The following is a 24079-nucleotide window of genomic DNA, read 5'->3' as shown; positions in this document are numbered from 1 at the left end:
AACCTCTGTTGACTCTACATGCAACTACAGCCTCCTTCCCATTTGTCTAAGCCTGGACTCCCCTGAAAGCAGAGATTGTCATGCTCTGGTCTAGGTAATGTTCCTGGGAAGTGATCCCAGGGAGCAGGAATGAGATGGGGGATGGAAGGCGGTGGGGAGCCAATGCATTAATGAGCTGCAGGAATGCATCTCAGTGTTGTCAAGGGGAAGCGTTTATTCGTGGGCTTCCATACCCCTGGGTCAAGGTGGCTCCAGAGGCATTAACCCCCACCCACTCTGGGGTTGGACGTGTGAGGTGGCCTCGCAGGTGCTTGCTACTGTGGAAGCTGCCTTCAATTGGCCGCAGCTGCAGTGGCTGGAATAGCGGTGGGGCCGAGAGGATGTCACAGGTGCTAGAAGAGTCCAGAGCCCATTGTTGTCTATGCCCAATGTCTCGTTTCTCTCCCCGCATTCCCTCACAAATGAACTCTAGTGAGGCCCTCCTCGCTCCACCCTCACATTGGGCAATTCTCAGGCCTCATTTTGTCTGTCTTGTAAGCAGCCTTGACACAGCTGAGCGTTCTACACGCCTGGAAACGCTTCCTTCTCACAGCTTCAGGACGCCACTCATGCCTGGTTTCCTTCCCCTCTGGCTACTCTTCCTCAACTCCCTGACTTCTAAACATTGGCGAGCTCAGGGTTTAGCCCTTGGACCCTTTCTTTTCTTTTTATATTCATTCCTTTGTGGTCTCATCTGTATTACTGCATTTCAAACACTGTCTACTTGCTATGGATCCAAAGTTATCTCCAGACCTGAGCTGGCTCCTAAACTGCAGATCTGCTGGTAGACACTGTTCAGCATTTCCATTTGTGTGTCTAAACATGTCTAAAACTTTTGTGACCAGCATCCGGCTCCTGATGTCCTCCCCAAACCCGTTCCTTCTCCCATCGTCTCCATCCCAGGAAACGGCAACTCCATCTTTATAAGACTTCAGGATGAAAACTTTGGCGCCATCCTTGGCCTTTCTCTCTTACTCCCTGATAACTGATTTGTTGATAAATCCCGATGCCTCTGCACTCACAGTGGATCTGGAATCCAGCTACTTCACCCACTCTTGGCTGAAGCCGCCATGATTCTCTGTTCACTGGTGGATTCGTGATCTCATAACTGGTCTCTCTGCCATTGCACCCATTGGCACAGTGGCCAAAGTGATCCTGTTAAAGTGGTTCTCAGCTGGGGCAATTTCTCCCCCTATCCCCCCCACGCCGAGACATTTTTGATTCTCACACCTGGGTGTGTGCACGCATGCATGTGGATGTTACTAACCATCCTGCAATGCATAAGACAGCCCCCAAGAACAAAGAATTATCCAGCCCCAAATGTCAGTAGTGCTAGGATTGACACACGCAGTGTTGAGACACAAGAAATGTTGCTTTTCTGCCTAAAACTCACGAAGTCCTAATTTCTTCCAGACATGGAGGTAAAGGAAGAGCCACACAAGGACCGAGTCCCTCTGTGGTCCCCCGTCACACACATTCACACGCACTTCAGTCACACTCATTCACACCCCTCAGCCACACTCATTCACACACCCCTCAGCCACTCATTCACACCCCTCAGTCACACTCATTCACACCCCTCAGTCACACTCATACACACACCCCTCAGTCACACTCATTCACAAGCCCCTCAGTCACACTCATTCACATGCCCCTCAGCCATTCACACGCCCCTCAGCCATTCACACGCCCCCCAGTCACACTCATTCACACGCCCCTCAGCCACACTCATTCACACCCCTCAGTCACATATTCACACGCCCCTTCACACGCCCCTCCAGTCACACTCATTCACACTCCTCAGTCACATTCACACCTCACAGTCACATTCACATGCCCCTCGGTCACACTCATACACACGCCCCTCAGTCACACATATACATGCCCCTCAGTCACACTCACACACCCCTCAGTCACACTCATTCACACGCCCCTCAGCCACACTCATACACACGCCCCTCGGTCACACTCATACACATGCCCCTCGGTCACACTCATTCACACCCCTCAGTCACACTCATTCACACACCCCTCGGTCACACATATACACGCCCCTCAGTCACATTCACATGCCCCTCAGTCACACTCATTCACACCTCTCATTCACATTCATTCACACGCCCCTCAGTCACACTCATACACATGCCTCTCGGTCACATACATACACGCCCCTTAGTCACACTCATTCATACACCTCTCTCACTCCCCCTTTCTCCTCAGTCACACTCATTCACACATCCCTCAGTCACACTCATACACACGCCCCTCGGTCACACATATACATGCCCCTCAGTCACACTCATTCACACCCCTCAGTCTCATTCACACTCATTCACACACCCCTCAGTCTCATTCACATGCCCCTCAATCACACTCATTCACATGCCCCTCCGTCACACTCATTCACATGTCCCTCAGTCACACTCATTCACATGCCCCTCAGTCACACTCATTCACATGTCCCTCAGTCACATTCACATGCCCGTCACACACATTACACCCCTCAGTCACACTCATTCACATGCCCCTCAGTCACACCCATTCACATGCCCCAGTCACACTCATTACACCCCTCAGTCATATTCATCCACATGCCCCTCAGTCACACTCAAACACCCCTCAGTCACACTCACACACCCCTCAGTCCCATTCACACACCCATCTGTTACACCCCCAGTCTGTCACACTCATTCACACACCTCTCCCTTACTCTCCCTTCTCCTCAGTCACACTCATTCACATGCCCCTCAGTCACACTCATACACATACCCCTCAGTCACACTCAGTCACACGCCCTTCAGTCATTCACTTGCCCCCTCAGTCACTCATTCACATACCCCTCAGTCACATGCCCCTCACAGTCACACACCCCTCAGTCACACTCATTCACACACCCCTCAGTCACATTCATTCACACACCCCTCAGTCACACTCATTCACACATCCCGCACACTCATTCACACACCTCTCTCTTACTCCCCCGGTCTCAGTCACACTCATTCACACGCCCCTTAGTCACACTCATTCACACATCCCTCACACTCATTCACACACCTCTCTTTTATTCCCCTGTCTCTCCTTTTTTTCTTGCTCTATGGCTTGCTCCACACCAGCCCACTGGCTTCTTGCTGATCCTGGCCATTAGTAAGGTCTGCTGCTCCCTCAGGGCCTTGGCACTGGCTGTTCCCTCTGCCTGAAATGCCCTCCCCCGAGACCCAGACACTCATATGACTCAATCCCTCACCTGCTTCAGGTCATTACCCGTTACACTTCTCAGTGAGGCCTTCCCTGAACACCCCATATAAAAGTGCATCCTTCCTTCAGATATTTCATATGCCCCTTCCTGTTTTATTTTCCTGTATACCACTAACATTCTGTATAATTTACTTATTTCTTTTGTTTATGTCCCCTGTTAGAAGATGAATGCCATGAAAGCAGAGATTATTATCTGTTTTATTCACTGCTGTATCCCAGCACCTAGAATAGTCTCTGGCACATAGCAGGTACACAACAAAAATGTGATGACTGAATAATGTTTTGTAGAGTGTAAGTACATACATGTGATATTTATGATTATTATAACTCTCTGGTGTTGCTCAGAGATGGTGGAAACCCTGCCATAGGGATCTTAAAATAACACAGATGGGGGCAATTGGTTAACTATTTGGGGGAAAATAAAGTTAAATCCTCACCTACATTATCTTGCAAAATATATTCCAGATGGATTCAGGAGTTAAGTGTGAAAAATGAAACCACCCACAAAAAATTAGAAGGTATTGTAGGGAAATATTTATCTGTTGTCTGGTTGGAAAAGGACTAGCTTTACATAAATCACAAAAGTAATTGCAACTAAAAAAACCCGTTAGATTACACTACTTGAAAAGTTAAAACATTTTTATGGGGAAAAAGTTATAAACAGCAATAAAAGGCAATAAAAAATTGGGAAGAGTATTTGCTACAAAGAGCAAACCTGATATCCTTACTACATTAAAAAGCTCTCACAAAATGATGAGAGAAAATGCATAAAGGACAGGAACAGACACTTGGCAGAGGAAGAAATACAGATAGCCAAAAAGTATTTTCAAATATTCGCCCCCACTAGCTATAAAGCTCAAATAAAAAAATGAACTATCATTTCAGTCTTGCACATTAGCAGAGAGAAAGGAAATCCTATTGCTCTTTGTTGATGTGTGCAATGAAATTGGCTCCCTCTGGCTGGGCACGATGGCTCATGCCTGTAATCCCAGCACTTTGGGAGGCCGAGGCGGGTGGATTGCCTGAGGTCTGGAGTTCGAGACCAGGCTGGCCAACATGGTGAAACCCCATCTCTACTAAAAATACAAAAAATTAGCGAGCCATGGTGGCACACACCTGTAATCCCAGCTACTTGGGAGGCTGAGGCAGGAGAATTGCTTGAACCCGGGAGGCAGAGGTTGCAGTGAGCCAAGATTGTGCCATTGCACTCCAGCCTGGGCAACAGAGTGAGACTCTGTCAAAGAAAAAAAAAAAAAAGAAAGAAATTGGTCCCCTCACAGTCACTGGTGGGAGTATAAATTGGGCTGATCTTTCTGGAGGGCAGTTTGACAGTGTGTTCCATGAGCCTGGAAAATATTCAGCCCTTTTGGCCCAGGAATTCCTCCCCTTGGAAGTTTTTCTAAGGAAGCATTTGGAGAGACAGACAGTGATTTATATGCAAGAGCACCCATCACAGCATTATTTATAATGGCAAAAAAATTGGAAACAACCTCAATGTCTAACAACAGGGAATTGCTAAATAAATCATGGTGTGATATCATGATGGAATATTATGCAGCCGTTCTAAAGATGGCTTTTGAAGAACCCCTAGTGACAAAGGAAAACACTCATGATTTGATATTTAGTGTAACAAATAATAAATGTCAATGTAGTCAGATGCTAAATATCTGTATGTATGTGTATGCATACACACACAATAACATAGAAAGTTGTAGTGAAAAAATGAATATATCAAAATCTGAGCAGTCTGGGAGATGCAATTATGGAATTCTTTTTTAGTTTTTGAAGATTCACCCCCAATTCACGAATGAACGAGCACAGTCAACCATACATATCTCTCAGAAAGGAAAATCCAAGGCATTTCCATATTGAATGGCCTAGGGTGGCCTTCTCAAGGCCTGCATGTGTGCAGGAATGGTCAAGAAGGCTCTCTGGGCTTGTGGAGCTTGTATTCAAGTGGGACAGACAGATAATGAGCAAATATAATAATATGTAGTAGGCAGTGTGTGTGCTGAGAAGAAAAAGAGAATGACGGGGTTTGAGGAAGGTCAGGCCTCTTGCAGGAAGGTGATCCTGATGACAAGAAGCAGCCACTGCAACTGTCCAGGCCCATGGGCAGAGGGGACAGAAGGAGGAGCAAGCTCACTGTGTCTAAGATGTGGGAGGAGGCCGGTGTGGTGGTGGCACGCTGGGGAAGAGTGGAACAAGATGCCCAGCCATGCCCTTGGCCCTCCTTATCTTTGGATCAAGTCCTGTTCTCGAAGCCCATCTCATGCTGTTCATTTCTAGGGCACCATTAAGAGCCAGGTGCTGTCAGGCAGCGAGACTAGAAGAATTAACAGTGTGGGGTAGGAACAGCTGGGGCCATCTGTGCCGCATGATGCTACAGAGTGATAGCAACTGCCATGTGGGCTGGCTCATGGGCTGTGAAGCACAGAGGGGATTGGGGAGGGCTTCAGGGAGGAAGCATTTGAGCTGGGCCTTGAGGGATGGGTAGGAGTGAGTCCCCAGGTTAAAGTGGGTAGAAAGGCATCTCAGGAGGGAGAACATCATAAAGCACAGAGTAGGGGCGGGGTTGCATCCTTGGCACATCACGGTAAGGGTAGATAGCTGGAGAGCCTGGGCTGTATGACTGTGTGGTGTGTGTGTGTGTCCCTGTGTGTGGATACATCCTGTGTGTGTACATGTCCCCATGTGTGTACATGTGCATGCAGTCTGGGAGATCAGATCAGAGAGGTGAGATTCGATTTGATCTACCTGAGCAGAGCCCAGATTTATTTTTCAAGTTCCCCAGGTCGTTCTGATGTGCCAGACAGTTTGGGACCCACTGCTGTGGATGGAAGTCTTGGAGAATTGTAAACAGACGAGCCAGGATTCTGTCCTGTGCCCAGGAGCCTTCCCCGATGGCCACCCCTTCTGACCTCTCAGGGTGCTGTTTCCCGTCCCTATATTGTAGCCTTTGGTTGTTAAATCCATCCCGTCTCCACCCTGTGGTTTTGTATCACATTTGAGTCTGATGATCAGCACCCAGGAGACTGAGCTTAGACCTGCTAGGTGATGAGTGGGGTGGGGCTTTGACGGTGGAGGGGGTGCCTGTGGGTGGGTGCACATCCCGCTTGATCTTGACCAAGTGGCTTCGGCTTCTGAGAGTTAGGTTCCTCTCCCTTAGGTGGGAATAATTGTCTCTCCCGCCTAGGGCTGATGGTGTTAAATTCGTGGATAAAGTGACTGGTACTCAGGTGTAAGCCTGGCGAACGCACTCTGGTGCACAGTTCTGTCCCCAGTGCTGTACAAGGTGGGCATTCAAAAGCGTGTCGAGTGAGCCAGTACAGTCCCTCCCATGGCTCTCCTGCCCTTGGTAGATGTGATGCTGGTGTTCAGGGTGCTGGGACGTTGAGCATCTACTGTGTGGCCATGGGAGAATACAGAGGTGGATAAGGTCAAATCTATTGAGGCTAGCTCTCTAGTGACAAATAAGACAAACACTAAAATGCTGTCATCTGGGGCACACTATTGAGATCAGAGACCCAGGCCAGGTCCTAGCATAGACACAAGCTCAGGAAATGACCACTAAAGGCACCCCAGGTACAGCAAGGCACAGCAAGGCACAGCAAGGGCACAGCAAGGCTAAAGGCCTGGCTCTGGAGAAGTGCATGGGTCACTTGGGGGACTGGCCCCTCAGGGCTGGAGTGCTCATACCCTTGCTGTCTCTCCCTCTCCCCCAGGTTCAGTGTGCTCTCAGACGGGGTCCTCCCTTTTCACCTAAATTCTATTGGGCAGAAAGAGCAAGGGCTTTAGAGTCAAGAGACACAGGCCACATAGCCTGGAGCAAGCTATCTTGGAGCATCTTGGGGTCCTCATCCATAAAATGGGGACAATAGTGTCTTCTTCACATGGTTGGCATTGTGGCTTAAAACAAGTCATGCCAAGCCCAGTGCCTGGCACACAACAGGTACATAATGCTAGTGCTTATGTCCCTCCTCCCCTCCACCTCCTCTCTGGTTGATACTCAGCTTTAGGAGGTCCCCAGTGGACTCCCCAGCCAGGCACATTGGCCCTGCATTCTGCTATCTCTTTAAGATAATAAATACGAACAAAACCGAAATCCATTATTAGCTTCTTCTAGACTGTCTGCATGATTTATGGCTTCAAAGTGCGTCTAGTTAATCTGTCGAAAGGGATTTTAAATTTCATTCGTCTTCCCTTCTGGCAGCCCCCTCTACCTTGAGTTCAGCTGTTTGACATGTCTAGTACTGGGGTCCCATTTTAAAAACATTTACAGTGGGCTGGGGGAAAAAAATCGGAGCTGGAGCAGCAAGCGGGAGGTTCAATTTGGCACATCTGCTTTGAATTCCACGCATCTCCACAAGCGCAGATAACTTGAAAGTTCGCTCAGGGAAGCGGTCCGGTGCCCACGAGGACTGCCTTAGGTGACTTTAAAGGAGAGGGGGATAATTACTGAAAATGAATTGTCACTGAAATAGAACCCTCCCGATCGGCCAGCTGACCATCTGTGGCTCACATGTGCAGGCCGCCCACACCTCCCCCTCCCAGGACTACCTAGCGTTCAGCTCTTTGGTTTTGTAAACCTCTGCCTCCCAGGCCATTCAGGTAATGCCTTGTTCGAGATTCATGCTAACTGGGGCTGTATAGTTCTCAGTGTGGCTGTGGTTGTGGGACCCGGAACGAGGGCCTAGGCAGAAACTGCCCAGGATTCAGTTCAGCAGACGTGTGGTAAGGGCCTCGGCACGTCAGGCCCTGGAGAATGTGTGTTCACAGTGCTCTACAGTTTACAAAGCCCTTCCACATTTATCACAGGTGGGGAAGCTGAATTGCATGCATTTATTTATTCAGCGAAAATGAATGAATCCCCCATGGTGGGCTGGTTGTTGGTTGGATGCAGGATGCAGGGGCATGTCAGCCACAGCTCTGTCTGCAGGCACGGGAGCCAGATGATGCGGGAGTGGACCCTGGGGTCTGCACCTCGGAGGAGCAGAGCAAGGATGTGTAGGAAAGTTGCACTGAGGGCATCACTGAAGCTGGGCCTCACAGGATTCATGCATGTAGCAGATACTTGGTGAATTTCTGTTCTGAGCCAGGCTGTGTTCTCAGATCTTGGTTGTCATCAAAATAGACCAAGCCCCTGCCCTCAGCGAGCAGAAAACAAAGATGTCAACAGATAAGCAAGATGCTTTTAAATAATGATGAGTGCTATAAAGATGGTAGAGCAGGATGGTATGATTGTGAGACTTCTCAGGTCAGGGAGGGCCTCCACGGCCAGCTCAGGGTCCCCTGGATGCAGGCTGGGGAGTAGCAGCCCTGGGAACAGGAGCCACAGAAGAGGGTTTGGAGCAGAAGGGGGTTCCTGAGATGAGGTGGCAGTGTGCAAAGGCTGAGGCTGCTGGCTCTCGAGGACAGACTTGGCAAGACCGGAGGGAGGGGTGTGGTGGAGGGAGGCTGTCCCCTGGGGAAGTTATGGGTTGTGTCTGCTGTTTATTTATGTGACTCTAGCTGGATTAGCAACCCCACTAGCTGCAGTAATGGGAACTTCACTATTTGGCCAGGTTCTGGTCATGCCAAAGAGAGGTGTGGGCTTGTAGCAGAGGAAGCTAGAGCCTTGGAACCATGCCCTGCCCTCGTTTGCCATTCCTAAGAGCGGCCCTCACTCCGGGCCTGGTGGTTCTGCCAGGAAGCAAAGGGATAGTGTACCCATTGTCGTGAGCCCTAGAGAGCAAGTGGGTGCCTTCCCAACAGCTCCAAGATCACTTAGCCCTGGCATCTGGGGCCAACCCAGACCTCTGTGGAGAAGGCAGGTCACCTCTGATAGGAGAGACAGCTACTGCCAGGTTGGCATGAGCTTCTCTGTGCAGCGTTATGGCCACCTGCGCCCCTGTGCTGGCTGCAGGGCCTGGTCCTCAGCCTATACTTGGGCACTGTTTCTGTGTAGACGGATGGATTGACCTGAAGGGGGGATTGGGAATTAAGTATGGGTTTGAAACAGTTTCTTCTCTGAGTCTCTCCTTTTCTCATCTGCAAAATGGAGAAAATGTGAGGATTAAGATTTTCCTTACAAAGCATCAGGGCTGGCTCCAGACACAATAGGAGCTCACTCCATGGTGGCTGTATATCCCAGAGAAAGAGCCAGGGTTGGGCCTGGGGGATGCCATCTAAGATGGGGAGACAAGAATGTCAACAGGAGATGTGCAATCAATGTTTTTTGAATGACTACTTGAATGAATTAATGAATGAAAATGGTTTGCTTATTGGGATTTAGTTGTGTCAAGGCCGAGCTATGGAATCTATGACTTCATCACAGTAGAAGATGAAGTCCAAGGTTACTGATGTGTCACTCAGGCCCCATCTGTGCCAGCCCCTGACTTCTTACTTCCTGGGCTTCCTGGTCCCAGATCCGCAATACTCAAAGCCCCCAAATAAATCCAGCTGTTGCATGCCTCTGGCCAGATGCTGGCCTTGCACTTTTGATGTTCTTGCCCCATCTTCCTGGCAAATACTCTTTCAGGGTCATCTCCTCATACTCATACTCAAGAGTCATCTCCTCAGGGAATTTTTTCTGACTCCTTCCTGCTCAGAAGCAAGAAAAGGAGGTCAATACTAATGAAGCCAGGTTTGTCATCCAGGCCTGGAGCGGCCAGAAGCTGGACTTGCATTTGTTTTCTCTTTGGACTGGCTGTGAAGAATGCAGTCCTTCATGATAGAGCAGTCATCAGCCCTTCAGTGGGTGTCCAGTTACAAAAATTCAAACAGACTAGGATTGCTATTGCCCCCTGGTTTTATTTTAATTTCTCCAGAGCATCTTTGCACCTTCTCATGTGTGTGTCTTCTGTTGAGAAGTGTCTGTTCAAGTCTTTTGTCCATTTTTAAATTGGGTTGTTTATCATTTTATTATTAAGTTATGAGTTATTTATATATTCTGGATACAAGCCTTGTTGGAGATATATATGTATATATATGGAATATTTTCCCCATTCTCTGCCTTGCCTTTTCACTTTCTAAATGGTGCTTTTTAGAGAACAGAGATTTTAAATTTTAGCTGGGCATGGTGGTACATGCCTGTAGTTCTAGCTTCTCAGGAGGCTGAGGCAGGAGGATCACTTGAGCCCAGGAGTTCAAGGCTGCAGTGAGCTAGGATTGCGCCACTGCACTCCAGCCTGGGTGATAGAAGGAGACTCCGTCTCTTTAAAAAAAAAAAAAAGAGATTTAAAATTTTAATTTAGTCCAATTTATCAACTCTTAAAATGTTTCCTGCTTTTTGTGTGTTCTAAGAAGCCTTTGCCTGTCCCAAAGTGTGCTCTTTTCTGGAAGTTTTATGGTTTTAGTTCTAAGTTTAGGTTGATGATGCATTATAAATTAATTTTCATGTGTGGTGTGAGATAGGAGTCAAGGTCATCTTTTCCATACAGTTATCCAGTTTTTCTAGCATCATTTGTTGAAAAGATTTCTTTCTCTCATTGGTTTGCCTTGGCACCCTTGTAAAAAATCAAATGACCATGTAAATGTGGATTTAATTGTAGACTTTGTTTGTTCTGTTGATCTATGTCTATTCTTATGCCAGTGCCACCCTGTCTTGATTACTGTAGATTTGTAGAAAGTCTTGAAATCAGATAGTGTGAGTTCTCCAACTTTGTTCTTAATTTTCAATATTGTTTTGGCTATTCTAGATCTCTAATATTTTCACATATGTATTTTGGAATCAACTTGTCAAATTTTACCAAAAAGCCTACTGGAGTCTTGGTTGAGATGGCATTAAATTTACAGGTCAATCTGGATAGAATTGACATCTTAATATTTAATCCTTCATCCATGAACATAGTATCTCTCCTCATTTATTAAGGTTTTCTTTGCTTTCTCTCAGTAGCAGTGAAAGGTCTATTTTTCATTGAAAGGTCTTATATATGAATAGCTTTTGTAACTTTATTTCTAAGCATTTTGTGTTTTCTGATGCTATTATATGTGGTATTGCTTTCAAATCCCATCTTCCTGTTATTTCCTCTAGTATAGAGAATTAAAATTCATTTTATTATGTTTGCAATATTTATTATGTTTTATTATATCTTGCAACGTGTCTAATTTATTCTTTCTTTTGTTTTTAGAGATTCCATAGGACTTTTTATGTAAACAATCATGTTATCTGAGGTTAAAGAGTTATGCTTCTTTTTCCATCTTCATGCTTTTTTCCTTTCTTACTGAACTGCACTAGCTAAGACATCTAATAATAATGTTAAATAGAAGTAGTGAGTGCGGACATCCTTGCTTTGTTCCCAGTCTTGGGGGGAAACATTCAGCCTTTCACCATTAAGCATGATGTTAGCTATAGTTTATCATTGATATACTTTATTATTTTGAGGAAATTCTTTTCTGTTTCTAGTATGCTGAGAATTTTAATCATCAGTGGGTACTACTTTTTCTGTGTCTATGGAGCTGATCATATGGCTCTTCTTTATTCTTTTGATTAAGTGAATTATGTTTCTCAATTTAGAACCTTATACTCTCTAAACCTCACTTGGTCATGATGTGTTTGTTATCTTTTCTATTAATATATATTGCTGAATTTGATTTATTTTTAAAAAGCAGATATCAGATTCGATACACATTAACCATTAATATGAAATTGTAAAGAAAGAATTTTGAAAGTTGGTTGTAAATCATAAAAAGTCCTAAAAAATGGCTAAAGTAATAAACTAAGAAGCAGCATAAGTAACCATATCACAGTCATGTGTTAATTACTAGAAACAAACTGAGGTTAATACATTTCTTAAGACATTAGCAAAAGAATGCTTTAAAAAAAGATAAGAATTGGTAAAACAGAAAATGGCAAAGAATAATTTTTTTAAAAAGCATGTATTTCCTGAGGCTACTGCGACAAATTACCCACAAATTTTAAACAACAGAAAATTTAAAACAACAGATATTTATCCTCTTATAGTTCTGGAGGCCAGAAGTCCAAAATCAAGGTGTCGGCAGGGCCTTGCTCCCTCTGGAGGCTCCGGGGGAGAATCTTTGCCTCTTTGGGCCTCTGGTGGCTGTTGGCATTTCCTGACTTGAGGCAGACCAGCATCCGTCTCCTGGCCATGTCGCCTCTTCCCTGTCTGTCTGCCTGTCTCTCCTGTGTATGTCTCTCATAAGGATGCTTCTGTTTGGATTTAGGGCCCACTGGGATAGTCCAGGGTGATCTCATCTTAAAATCCTTAACTTCATTGCATCTGCCAATACCCTTTTTCCAAATAAGATAACATTCACCAATTCTGGAGATTTGACATGGAATATCTTCTTCTTCTTCTTCTTCTTTTTTTTTTTTTTTTTTTTTTTGAGACATAGTCTAGCTCTGTTGTCCAGGTAGAGTTGCAGTGGTGCGATCTCGGCTCACTGCAACCTTCGCCTCCCAGGTTCAAATGATTCTCCTTCCTCAGTCTCCCGAGTAGCTGGGATTACAGGCGCACACCACCACACCCAGCTAGTATTTGTATTTTTAGTAGAGACAGGGTTTCACCATGTTGGCCAGGCTGGTCTCGAACTCCTGACCTCTAGTGATCCACCCACCTCGGCCTCCCAAAGTGCTGGGATTACAGGCGTGAGCCACTGTGCCCGGAATATCTTTCAAGGGGCCACCATTCAACCTTCTATACAGTGTAACTTTAAGATTTCCTGTATGAGGCCGGACGCAGTGGCACGTCTGTAATCCCAGCACTTTGGGAGGCTGAGATGGGCAGATCAAGAGGTCGAGACCATCCTGGCCAACCTGGTGAAACCCCATCTCTACTAAAAAATACAGATGGCATGGGCCTGTAGTCCCAGCCACTCGGGAAGCTGAGGCAGGAGAATCACCTGAACCCAGGAGGCAGAGATTGCAGTGAGCGGAGATTGCACCACTGCACTCCAACCTGGCGAGAGTGAGACTCCGTCTCAAAAAAAAAAAATTTTTCTGTATGAAACATTGATGTCTGATGACCAAATCAAATGAAATAAACTGAACAGCAAATACGAAATAAGAAGAAACTCACCCATAATCCTTGATTTTGACCATTTTAATATATTTTTTAAATGCTGCTATGAACACAAAATGAAAACGTATTACTAAAACTAAAACCATCTCTTCTAACATAAATTGTTGTCATCTTTATAAATGGTTAAAATAAACAAGTTTTGGGTAACTGTTTATTTGGAAATTTTGGGAATGTAGCCATTTGGCGAAGTAATTTGTGGCTAATTGGCTTTTGACGAATTGGTCATTTGACACATTGATTTTTAGCCAACTGGCACTTGGAGAATAGATGTTCATCAAGTTGGCCCACCTCCCACACGGGCCTGGGGCTTGGTGTCTGGGGCCGGGCTGTGAGGCCCACATAGGCGCCAGGCAGGCTGAGTACTTGGTGTGGGATCCAAAGATCCTCTTAGACCAGGAGGGAGAGCCCCACAAGACCTGGCCATCCCTGGCCTTGGCTGGCCTGCTCCTGGCTGGGCTGGGGGAGACTTGGGGGGGATACAGAATGAGAGTGACCCTTTATGGACTGTGTGCCAGGCCCTGAGCTAAGTGTCCCATGGGGCATTATCTCACTTGATCCTCACAATAAACCCCTGCAACTAGTATGATGATCTGCATTTGACAGATAAGGGAATGGAGGCACAGAGAGGTTAGGTTACCTGGCCAAGACCACACTGGCAGGTGAGGGGCAAAGTTCAGATTCCAGACCAGGCTGGCTGTCTCTAAAGCCTATGTTCCTATCCCCAGGGCCAAAATGGATCAGATGGAGTCCTTGTCCTCATGCAGCTACTGGCCCAGTCAGCTTCTTGATAAACCATTTCTATGGGCCTTATTGTAGCCTGACAGTGGAGCCCATTTCTCTTTCTCAGATGAGGAAACTGAGATCTGGATACGGTGTGAGGCTTGCTGAAGGTCGCTTAGTGGATCAGCATTAGAGCTAGAACAGGCACCAGGCTGGGTCCTGTTCGTCCTCCATCGGCTGCCTCCACCTCCAGCCTGGCTCCGGGATTTCTGCTCTTTTGTGTTCTTCTCCCTGAAAGTGGGACAGGCCCTGCAGTCTCCCGCCTTCCACCCCCAGCCCTCCTTGTTTATGTCCATGTTAATGGGCCTTTGCAGGCCGGCCCAGCTGCGGATGAGAGCCAGTGAGCCACCTGGAGCTGCGTCTGCCACAGAATGTTTACGGTGCGTGGAGCCGAAACGAAACAACATCCATCTTGTTGACTAGTACCAAACACTGTACTCATTCATGGCCAAGCCGCCGACGGGGTCCCTGTGCTTGGCAGTGAGCTGCCCCAGCTCTGCCGGCATAAACTGGCAGTGAGAAGAAAAGCAGGCAAGCTTTGGGGAAGTTGTGCCCTGAGCCCAGGTGGCCCCCCCGCCCATTTTCTGTTCACCCTGTCCTCTGACCAGATGGAGCATCAAGGTGGTACACTGCGATGTCAGCGCTGGTCTGAAGACAAGATGCTGGGGCACTGAGCTGGCGTCAGAAGTACAGGTCAGCCCTAACCAGTGAGGACTAATGAGGTCATCTGTGTAAACGTGAAGTGCTGGACAGAGCCCAGCAGCCTAGGAGAGCTTTGCCCCAGACAACTCTGCATCGAATCCTGGTATGACTGTCATCACTGCCCAAACTCAGTGTCCTCATCTCTCCAGCAGGATTAATGCTGATCTCAGCCTTGCAGAACTAACCAGAGAACCTTTGAGACACACTCATAAACCAAGTTGTTCCTGTAAATGTCCCGTACCTCCCAGGATGCCAAGGAGAGGAGAGCATCATCCTCTCTGGCCACCTTTAGGAGGCAGCAGCTAGGCGCTCTGCAATGACTGCCTGATGGGAACTCTGGAGGACTGGGTTCTGGTCCTGACTTGGCCACTGGCCCCAGTGTCACCTTGGACAGCCCTTCACGCTCACTGGGCCTCAGTCTCCCTCTTATGTAAAACAAGATTATCTTTTAGATCTGTTTTAGTCCTGCCACCTTACAGTGGAATGGCTGAGGGATGCTTCTCAAGGTGTGTACAGTTCCCATAGGAATGGCTTCTCCTGGCCTGTGGGCCGCCTGGCGGGTTGAGTATAGGGTGATCACTGGAGCCCTGGGCTGAGGACTGTAGTCTGGAATCACCAGCCCTGGGGATGAACCCCAAGTATGTCTCCTTCTAGATGTGTTATTCCGGAGAAGTCATTTCAACATCCTGGCCTTGGTTTCCTCATCTGTAAAATGGGCTGATTGATGTATCTAGCAAGACTGTTGAGAGGCTTAGATGAAATGTTTAGCACAGTGTTCTGGCCCTTAGGTGCAGACACAACACTCACATCCCATGGTAAGGGCTGTAGTGGGGAATGGCCAACCCTGTGGCAGGGTCAGGGAAGCCTTCCTAGAAGCAGCGGCCCCACTAAAGAAGGATAAGGGAAGGCAGGTGTGCACCTCATCCTTAGGGCATTGCAGTTCTGGTCCATGTTGTCACCAGGCTGAGGGCTCCTGAGGGCAGCAGCAGTATCTGCCTCATCTCTGGGCCCCAGTGCCCAGCTCAGGGTGGGTGGATGGGTGTTCTCTTTGGCCCATGCCAGAAAGGGTCTTGGGAGGCGGCAACCAGGCCAGACCAGGCAGGCCTGTCCACCATGAAGAGTCCAAATGCTGGGGCCAGAGGAGGGAGAGGCAGAGGTCTGGTCCAAGACCAGCCCCGCCTCTGGATCATGAAGCCTTTTGACAGGGGATTCACAGTGGCTGTCTGGGATTAGAAGACGACAGAACATTTAGAGGCATCTCCAGTCTACTGTGTTTGTTTTACAGAAAAGGGAACTGAAGCCTAGGGTCTGGTTGCTGCCTAAGACAGAAAGTGAGTTAAGAGCCAGGGTAGGACTAGAACTCTGGGCTCTGCTTCCTGCCTGGGGGTCCTTTCCCTGGATTCTTGACCTCAAGTGTGAAAAAGAGGGTCAGGCCTGAATAGGGAGCCCTACTTGCATGAGCACCTGCTGCTTCCTGATGGAGGTAAAGTATGGTCTCATGGACAGGCTTTCTCCTTGGCAATGTTGGCAGCAGCAGCAGCAGTATCTGTGAGTGGGCTGCCCTTCATCAGCCCCTCGACTTTCCTAGAAACCCCCCTTTGCATCCTCAGAAGTCAGGGCAATGTGGTCCTGTGTGGGCTGGTGCAGCCCTGTGCACAGCTACAGGCAGGGCCAGGGGCAAGTCTGCAGCCTCCCTGCCCCTCACAGAGGCCTGCTCCTAATTGGATGAAAACACTGCTAGGTGCTGCTTCATGGAAATGTTCATTAGTTTCCACCTCCTGTCTCTTGAGAGAAACCAGTGGGTTTCAACTAATAATGTTGTAAAGGCCAGAGCTGGGACTGTGGCCTGGTGACCCACCCTAGGGGCCTGCATCTTAGAGAAAGGGCTTCTTATCTCTCATCTTTCTAGCAGTCTTTCCTGGCAGCAGAGGCTTGAGTGGCATCCAAGGCCTAGCCCAGTTCTCACCTGGTGTATTCATTTCTGCATTTGTTCTGCAAGCTGGCAGCTGATCACTTACAGCGGGAGAAGGGGAAGTTTTGGGATGGGCAAGGGTTGGGGAGGTGAGCTCCGTCTCAGGTTCTCAAACCCTCTCTGCTGATCGGCCAGTGGGGAGACTGTCCCTGCCGAGGTCCCTTCCCCAGGCCTGCCCTTTCTGGGCTTTCTGGAGTCAGCCCTGCACTCTCCCACCTTGTGCCCCAGCACAGGGCCTGGACTGCCTGCTCACCTTCCCTGGGGAGCTTTCAAAGGAACCATATGCTTGCCTTCTTGTGGGTCCCTCTGGGCTCAGGACTCTGTCACTGAATCCAGAAATAGTCCCTGGGATGCAAGAAATCAAGACACAGTCCTGCTCACCCCCACTCACTCTGTGACCTTGGGGGAGACCTTGCTTTCCCTACCTGAAGAAGGATGGCTGGGAGCTGAGGTTCTCAGCAGCGCTTCCTTTTCTTAACAGGGCCTTCTTTGAACTGCCTCCTTTGCTCTCCTGAAATGAAATGCACCGATAACATAGCCGGCCTGCACCATCTTTTAAAAATTTTTCATATAAGGTTTTATATTGAAGAAGAACTAAAAGGGAAATAACTTGTAAACAATGTATTTCCACATTCACACACTCAGGCATGACTGTGCTGGAAGATGGGATGAAGTCATCGGCCAATTGCCCGTGTGCGGCATTGCTAAGCTTGATGGCTGCAAACACACAGATGTCACAAGTAGCGTGGCCGAGGGTGATGTGATTTTCTGAGATGGTGAACAATCCCTGGTCAGCTCCCAAACAAAACACAGCATAGTCTTTCCTCAATTTACATGGCAGTTCCATTCCTGGAAAATTTAGTGTCTCTTAAAACCATGAGAAAGTACTTGTATTTAAATGTAAAATGGAGCTATGTTCTAGGCTTAGATGATCAGGTTGCTTGTTTACAGATAGTTGAATATCTGGCAAGATATTAGAAAGTTAGTGTGAGACTGACCCACCCACTCTTGGTGGTGAGTTGGCCATCCCTGGCTGCTCCCCACTAAATGACAAGTACTCCCAGTCATGGCAGCCACCAGAAATCCACCCCCATGATTTCCAGTGTGTCCCCTGGGGTGGAACCCCACCTTGGAACCTCTGCCACAGTGATGTCTGAGGGCCTGTTGTTCCTGGCGGGCTGAGCGTGCAGGCTGACTCCAGCCTAGGGCCTAGGCTGGCTCTAGGCCCTCTGGAGGAGGGCAGAGAGGATTGCATGAAGCCCCATGGGGTGGGGCTGGTCAGGGAAATCTTCCTGGAGGAGGGAGCCTGGGATCTGGGTGGGTTCAGGTCTGGGGTGGAGATGGGGTTGGGGGTGGGATTTTTCAGAAGCCAAAGCTGTGACTTCCCCAGTAGCCCTTTCCCTATTTCTGGCCACATGGTGGAACAAATAATCTTTTCCACAGAATCCAGAAATCCCGAGCCTCGGAGGGACTTGGAACTCTTGCCCCTGTCTGCTCCGGGCTGGATCTCCGGATTGTGCCCGTTCCTGGAGAGCTGAGGTGTCCAGGGTGTCTGCATTGTCCCCCAGGACAGTGACATTATCTCACTCAGAGCTACCAGTCCTTCTCATGGAGACCCAAGATGGAGGGAGGTGGAGAGAGGGGTTGTCAGGTGTTGGCATCCCTGTCTCCCACACACCCCTCTCCTGTCCAGAGCTGGGCATCCCCCACCCAACCCTGTTGCTGTCATGGAGTCCTTCTTACACTTTGTATATTTTTGAGCCATTTGAAGGCATTTTATCAGTGAGGGGGAAAAAACCAGTGTGGGCACAGGAGTTACCTAATTAGCTTGATTTAAAGGAGAAGGTTAAAAAATGCCAAGCATGAAGTAATAAATATATACCTGACATAAGCATCTATGGCCCTGTATGTACTGAAAACGCAGATGGAATATGTTTATCTCTGATACATTTTCTTAGCGATTTCAACAGCCATTTCCTCTGCATTTCTTGTCATCCCATTACTGTCCTGGCTGTTTTGAGTGTTGGTCACCATCGCTGTCGCTCCCTGAAAATTTAGGCCGGGCAGGGGCTTATATGGGGCTCTAGGACATATCAGGAAATGGCAGCCTTGGGATCAGAGAATCATGGAATTTTATAACTTCAGAATCTCCTCATGACAGATTTGTGGGATCATGGAATCTTAGAAGCAGTAATTGAAGTGCTTAGCTTTATAAAATTGTATTACCTTAGAGCTGGGTGCGGTGGCTCTTGCCTGTAATCCCAGCACTTTGGCAGGCCGAGGTGGGTGGATTGCCTGAGCTCAGGAATTCGAGACCAGCCTGGGCAACATGTTGAAACCCTGTCTCTACTAAAATACAAAAATTAGCCAGGTGTGGTTGCGCACGCCTGTAATCCCAACTACTCGGAAGGCTGAGGCATGAGTTATTGCTTGAATCCAGGAGGTGGAGGTTGCAGTGAGCCGAGATGGTGCCATCCCACTCCAGCCTGGGTAACAGAGCAAGACTCTGTCTCCAAAAAAAATAAAAATAAAATAAATAAATGAATAAAATAAATAAATAAAATCATATCATCTTAGAATGAGAGATTCATGGAATTATAGAATCCCTGTTGCATATAAATCCCAAATTTTGAATTTTGGAATCATACTAGCTCAGTATGATAAAAGGTAAAATCTGAGAAGTTTAAAGGATGTTGGGGTTTACTTACTAGACCATCCCTCCCAACCCTTGGGAGATACAGAAATATGTTAAATACTCTCAGTGCCTTCTTCTACCAGCTCCAGCTCCTTGGGACCTTGCTTTGCACCCCAGCCTGGAGTCTCCCTTGGCCCTAGAGAGGCACTAGTGGTCACTCACACCGGGCAGTGGTGCAGCCTTTCACAGGGTAGGAGTTGGGAGACATGGGGAGCCTGGGAGATGGCACTAGGAGGGAAGAGAGGGCAGAGGCCCTCGCAGACCTGCCCTGAGGAGGAGGAAGCCCTGCACAGCCCTCCTGCCAGCCGCCTTATCTCATGTGGATGCACCTGTTTCCATCCATCAGCCACCAAGGGGAAGGATACCCAGCAGTTCCCTGGGCCAGCATCTGAGAGTGTCCTCCTGACCCCTGCCGTCAAATTACTAGAGGTGGGCCAGGAGGGACAGGGAACTATTCACAGACCCTGGGGGAGGGTCTGTGCTGAGTTAGAGGACCACCGTCTAGTCCCATTCTGTCTTAGGTTTATTCTCAAGGATTTTGTTTGCAGTCTTTTTATTATTAAAACAATGTGAAATATTTCAAAATATATAATATAGAGATTTTTAAAAATTATTTAAAAATTTATGTACAGTAAATTTACAGAGAATGCATATGTGTGTGAGAGTGTGTGTGAGTGTGTGCACGAATATGTGAGTATAAGAGAGTGTGTATGAGTGTGTGAGAGGGTGAGAGTCCGTGTGTGTGCATGTGTGTGAAAGAGTATGTGTGTGCATGTGTGTGCGTGTGTGTGCGTGTGAGAGAACAATTCTGTGAGATCTGACAAATGCATAGAGTCACATTGCCACCACTCCAATGAGGAAACAGAACAGTCCCCTTAATCCAAAAAAGGAATATAGAGCTTTTAACACCCCTAATCCCAAAGCCACCACCTCCCTGCATCTACGCTTTTCTTTCTAAAGTCTTTTTCAACACAAAACTCAGAGAGCGTTTCCCACCTGTCGAGTCTGGTTGTGCCCTGCTTTCCAGTGGCTTCCTGCCACACTGGAATAACACCCAGCATCCTCACCGCAGCCCCCAGACCCTGCTCTGTGGCCTCACTGCCTGCCTCCGTCACCTTGCTTGCTAGGCTCCAGCCACACCTGGCCTGTGTTCCCGCCCTGGAACGCACTCCAGCCTCGGGTCCTTTGTACCCTGCTGCTTCCCCTTCCTGGCATGCCCTCCCTCCCCTCAGGCCTCTGTTCAAATGTCACCCCCTTGGAGACACCTTCTCTGACTGTCCTGTCTCTCTTTACTTTCTAACTTCTTGTTTTCATTTTAATTTATAACATTAATCAGTTCCTGATATTACAGTATATATTTATTTGTGTACTTTTGAAACTGTCCTGTTATTGGAATGTAAACCGCATAAGAGTAGAGACTTTCCTTTCTCATTCATCACTGGAACACCGCATTTTTGGTGCCTGGTCCTGGCATATAGTAGGCATTCAATATCCATGTGTTAAATGAATGAATTGTTAACATTTGATGTATTGATTTGCCATTCTTTTTACTCTTCAGGTCATTTTTAGTATATGGAATTTTGAATCCTGCGCTTATAATTAATTCTTATAAATATTTTCCTTTGTGACTGAAAACTTGAGTAAATCTAGAGAAACCCATGACTTGTGATGAGGCAAATTCATATAAAACATGGTTGGCCATTGGTAGTTGTTGCTGTCCTCTGTCCAGCCTCTTTACAAATGGGGCAGTGAGAATTCATCTTTTCTGTGGAGCTGTGGGGGAATGGATGGGTTTAGGAAGTGACTGCCTCATAAATCATTTGAGACTTTCTCAGTTCCTTGTGTGGTGTGGACTTTGTAATAAGTGGGCTGTTTCTTACATATTTAATCAATGTAAACATTTTTTCCCACACATTAACTGAAAAAAAAACCACCAAAAATATCATTTTTAAATTACATAATAACACAGCTCTGCATGTTTAATTTATTGAAGCTTTTGGGTCACACTTATTGCATTATGGTAGGGTTTCACTGTATCATATTCAATAGCTACATAAAATTTCTGCTGAATAACTTCACAATAATTTACTTACTCATTCTTCTATTATTGGATATATAGGCTATCTCCTATTCTTTTCTGTTATAAATGCTTAAAATTTTGCATATTCTTTGACTCTGCAGTCCCACATCTAGGAATTTATCCTAAGGCTATAAATATGGATGGACATGAAGATAGGTCTATAAAGACATTCATTAAATGGTCGTTTTGAGTTTTTCACTTCTCCAAATAATTTTAATTCCAACCATGAGGAAAAATTAAATATGTACAACCATAGAATGGAATCTATAGAGTCATTAAAATTATTTGTTAAAAGGGGATTTTTGCATCTGCTATAGCAAATTAGCTTGTATCGGACTAATATTTCCTCTGGATAAAATATAAAAAGCATTTGTTTAAAGGCATCAAAGAACTGGCTGGGCTCACGCCTGTAATCCCAGCACTTTGGGAGGCCAAGGTGGGTGGATCACCTGAGGTCAGGAGTTTGAGACCAGCCTGGCCAACATGGTGAAACCCCATGTCTACTAAAAATGCAAAAATTAGCCGCACGTGGTGGTGGGTGCCTGTAGTTCCAGCTACTCGGGAGGCTGAGGCAGGAGAATGGTGTAAACCTGGGAGGCAGAGCTTGCTGTGAGTCGAGATCGTGCCACTGCACTCCAGCCTGGGTGACAGAGCGAGACCCCATCTCAAAAAAAAAAAAAAAAGGCATCAAAGAACTAATGAGACAGCTAGGACTTGAGGGACCAAGACACCAGAGAGAAGGGAAATGCACTAAGGTGAATATGACACTGTGCCTCTTCTTCCTTTCAGGCATTAGCCAATCTGTAGGTAATGTGGGGCCAAGAGTCAGAGAGCTCAACAGATCTTTCTATAGCCTTACTGTGCTGTGGAGACAAAAATTGGAGTTAAGGGCTACTGAGACAGGCAGATCATGAGGGGTCAAGATCCCAGGGAGATGGGGAAGTGCCAAAAAGTAAGCCTAACAGGCCAGGCGCGGTGGCTCACACCTGTAGTCCCAGCACTTTGGGAGGCCGAGGTGGGTGGATCACGAGGTCAGGAGATTGAGACTATTCTGGCTAACACAGTGAAACCCCGTCTCTACTAAAAATACAAAAAAATTAGCTGGATGTGGTGGCGGGCACCTGTAGTCCCAGCTACTTAGGAGGCTGAGGCAGGAGGATGGTGTGAACCCGGGAGGCGGAGCTTGCTGTGAGCCGAGATCGCGCCACTGCACTCCAGCTTGGGTGACAGAGCGAGACTCCATCTAAAAAAAACAAAAAGTAAGCCTAACATTCAGCATTGCTTTTCCTTCAAGTTATTTGCTGATTTATGCATGGCACAGGCTAAGGGGTAAAGAAACCAACAGATGTGGCAGTTATGAAGTTGAGAAGTGGGCTAGGTGTGATGGTTTACACCTGTAATCTCAGGACTTTAGGAAGTTGAGGGGGGAAGATCACTTGAGGCCAGTAGTTTGAGACCCCCTGGGCAATATAGCAAGACATGGTATCTACAAAAATTAAAAAATTAGCTGGCCATGGTGGTATGGGCCTGTAGTCCCAGCTACTTGGGAGGCTCTGGTGGGAGGATCCCTTGAGCCTGGGAGTTTGGGGCTGCAGTGTGCTCTGATTGCACCATTGCACTCCAGCCTGGGCAACAGAGTGAGACCCTGTCTCTGAGAAGAGGAAGAAGAAAAAGAAAAAAGAAGTTGATAAATTAGGCAGAGCTTTTAACAGCTTCAAGTTCTAGGAAGACAAATGTGAAGTTCAGGGTCAGCAAAGAAGAAGCTTGGTATCCCAAACTTTCAGTTGAGGACCCTGACAGGCAGCATCTAGAAGAATGGATGAGCCAGAAACAGAGCAACTTGTACAAAGAGTGAAGCCCAGCTTTAAAACAGCCAAATCCCAGACTGAATTAAGATGATATTTTCCTCTTTTACCTGCCTTTAAGAAGCAAAATAAAATTTTCTCTGGAGGAAGATATCATCTGTCCAAATTTCATACACAATATTGAGCATTCTGTCAAAAATTACCAGAGATACCAGGAGACAGGACCAAGAGGGAGAAAAACACAATAAAAACACACAAGTAGTCCAGATGTTGGTGTTATCAGACACAGGATTGAAAATAACTGTGATTGGCCAGGCGCAGTGGCTCATGCCTACAATCCCAGCACTTTGGGAGGTCAAGGCAGGAGGATCACTTGAGCCCAGAAGTTCAAGACTAGTCTGGGCAAACTGTTGAGACCCTGTCTCTACAAAAAATACACAAATTAGCTGAGCATGATAGTGCGTGTGTTGCCTATAATCTCAGCTATTTGGGAGGCTGAAATGGCTGGATTGCTTGAGCCTGGGAAGTTGAAGCTGCAGGGAGCCAAGGTCATGCCACAGTACTCCAGCCTGGGTGACAGGGCAGGACCCTGTCTCAAAAAATAAAATAACTGTTCATAACATTAATATGTTCAAGAAAATTGATAAATAGAGAATTTAATAGAGATCTGAAAACCATAAAAATTAATAAAATGAAAAATTTTAAATGAAAAAATATAGTAACAGAATT

At 47.0% G+C, this 24079-nt stretch overlaps 1 protein-coding gene across 11 annotated transcripts in view, besides 2 other annotated features; it reads left to right on the top strand.

The window, feature by feature from the left end:
* The window catches only part of GLIS1 (GLIS family zinc finger 1), a 232926-nt gene that overhangs the window by 104116 nt on the left and 104731 nt on the right, over positions 1 to 24079 (top strand). The gene's annotated exons all lie outside the window — the stretch shown is intronic.
* Positions 13987 to 14491: an enhancer, noted in NCBI's record as "H3K4me1 hESC enhancer chr1:54086231-54086735 (GRCh37/hg19 assembly coordinates)". NCBI's record gives its function as "activates a minimal SCP1, AML or CMV promoter by ChIP-STARR-seq in primed H9 embryonic stem cells {active_cell/tissue: H9 hESC(primed)}" and the evidence as "EXISTENCE:reporter gene assay evidence [ECO:0000049][PMID:30033119]".
* Positions 17938 to 18104: a silencer, noted in NCBI's record as "fragment chr1:54082618-54082784 (GRCh37/hg19 assembly coordinates)". NCBI's record gives its function as "represses an EF-1alpha promoter that drives an FKBP-Casp9 reporter gene in an ReSE screen in HepG2 liver carcinoma cells {active_cell/tissue: HepG2}" and the evidence as "EXISTENCE:reporter gene assay evidence [ECO:0000049][PMID:32094911]".

The sequence above is a fragment of the Homo sapiens genome, chromosome 1 (genome assembly GCF_000001405.40).
Source record: "Homo sapiens chromosome 1, GRCh38.p14 Primary Assembly".
Lineage (NCBI taxonomy): Eukaryota > Metazoa > Chordata > Mammalia > Primates > Hominidae > Homo > Homo sapiens.
Note: the sequence above shows the minus strand (reverse complement) of the source record. Positions and strands in the feature narration are given on the sequence as shown.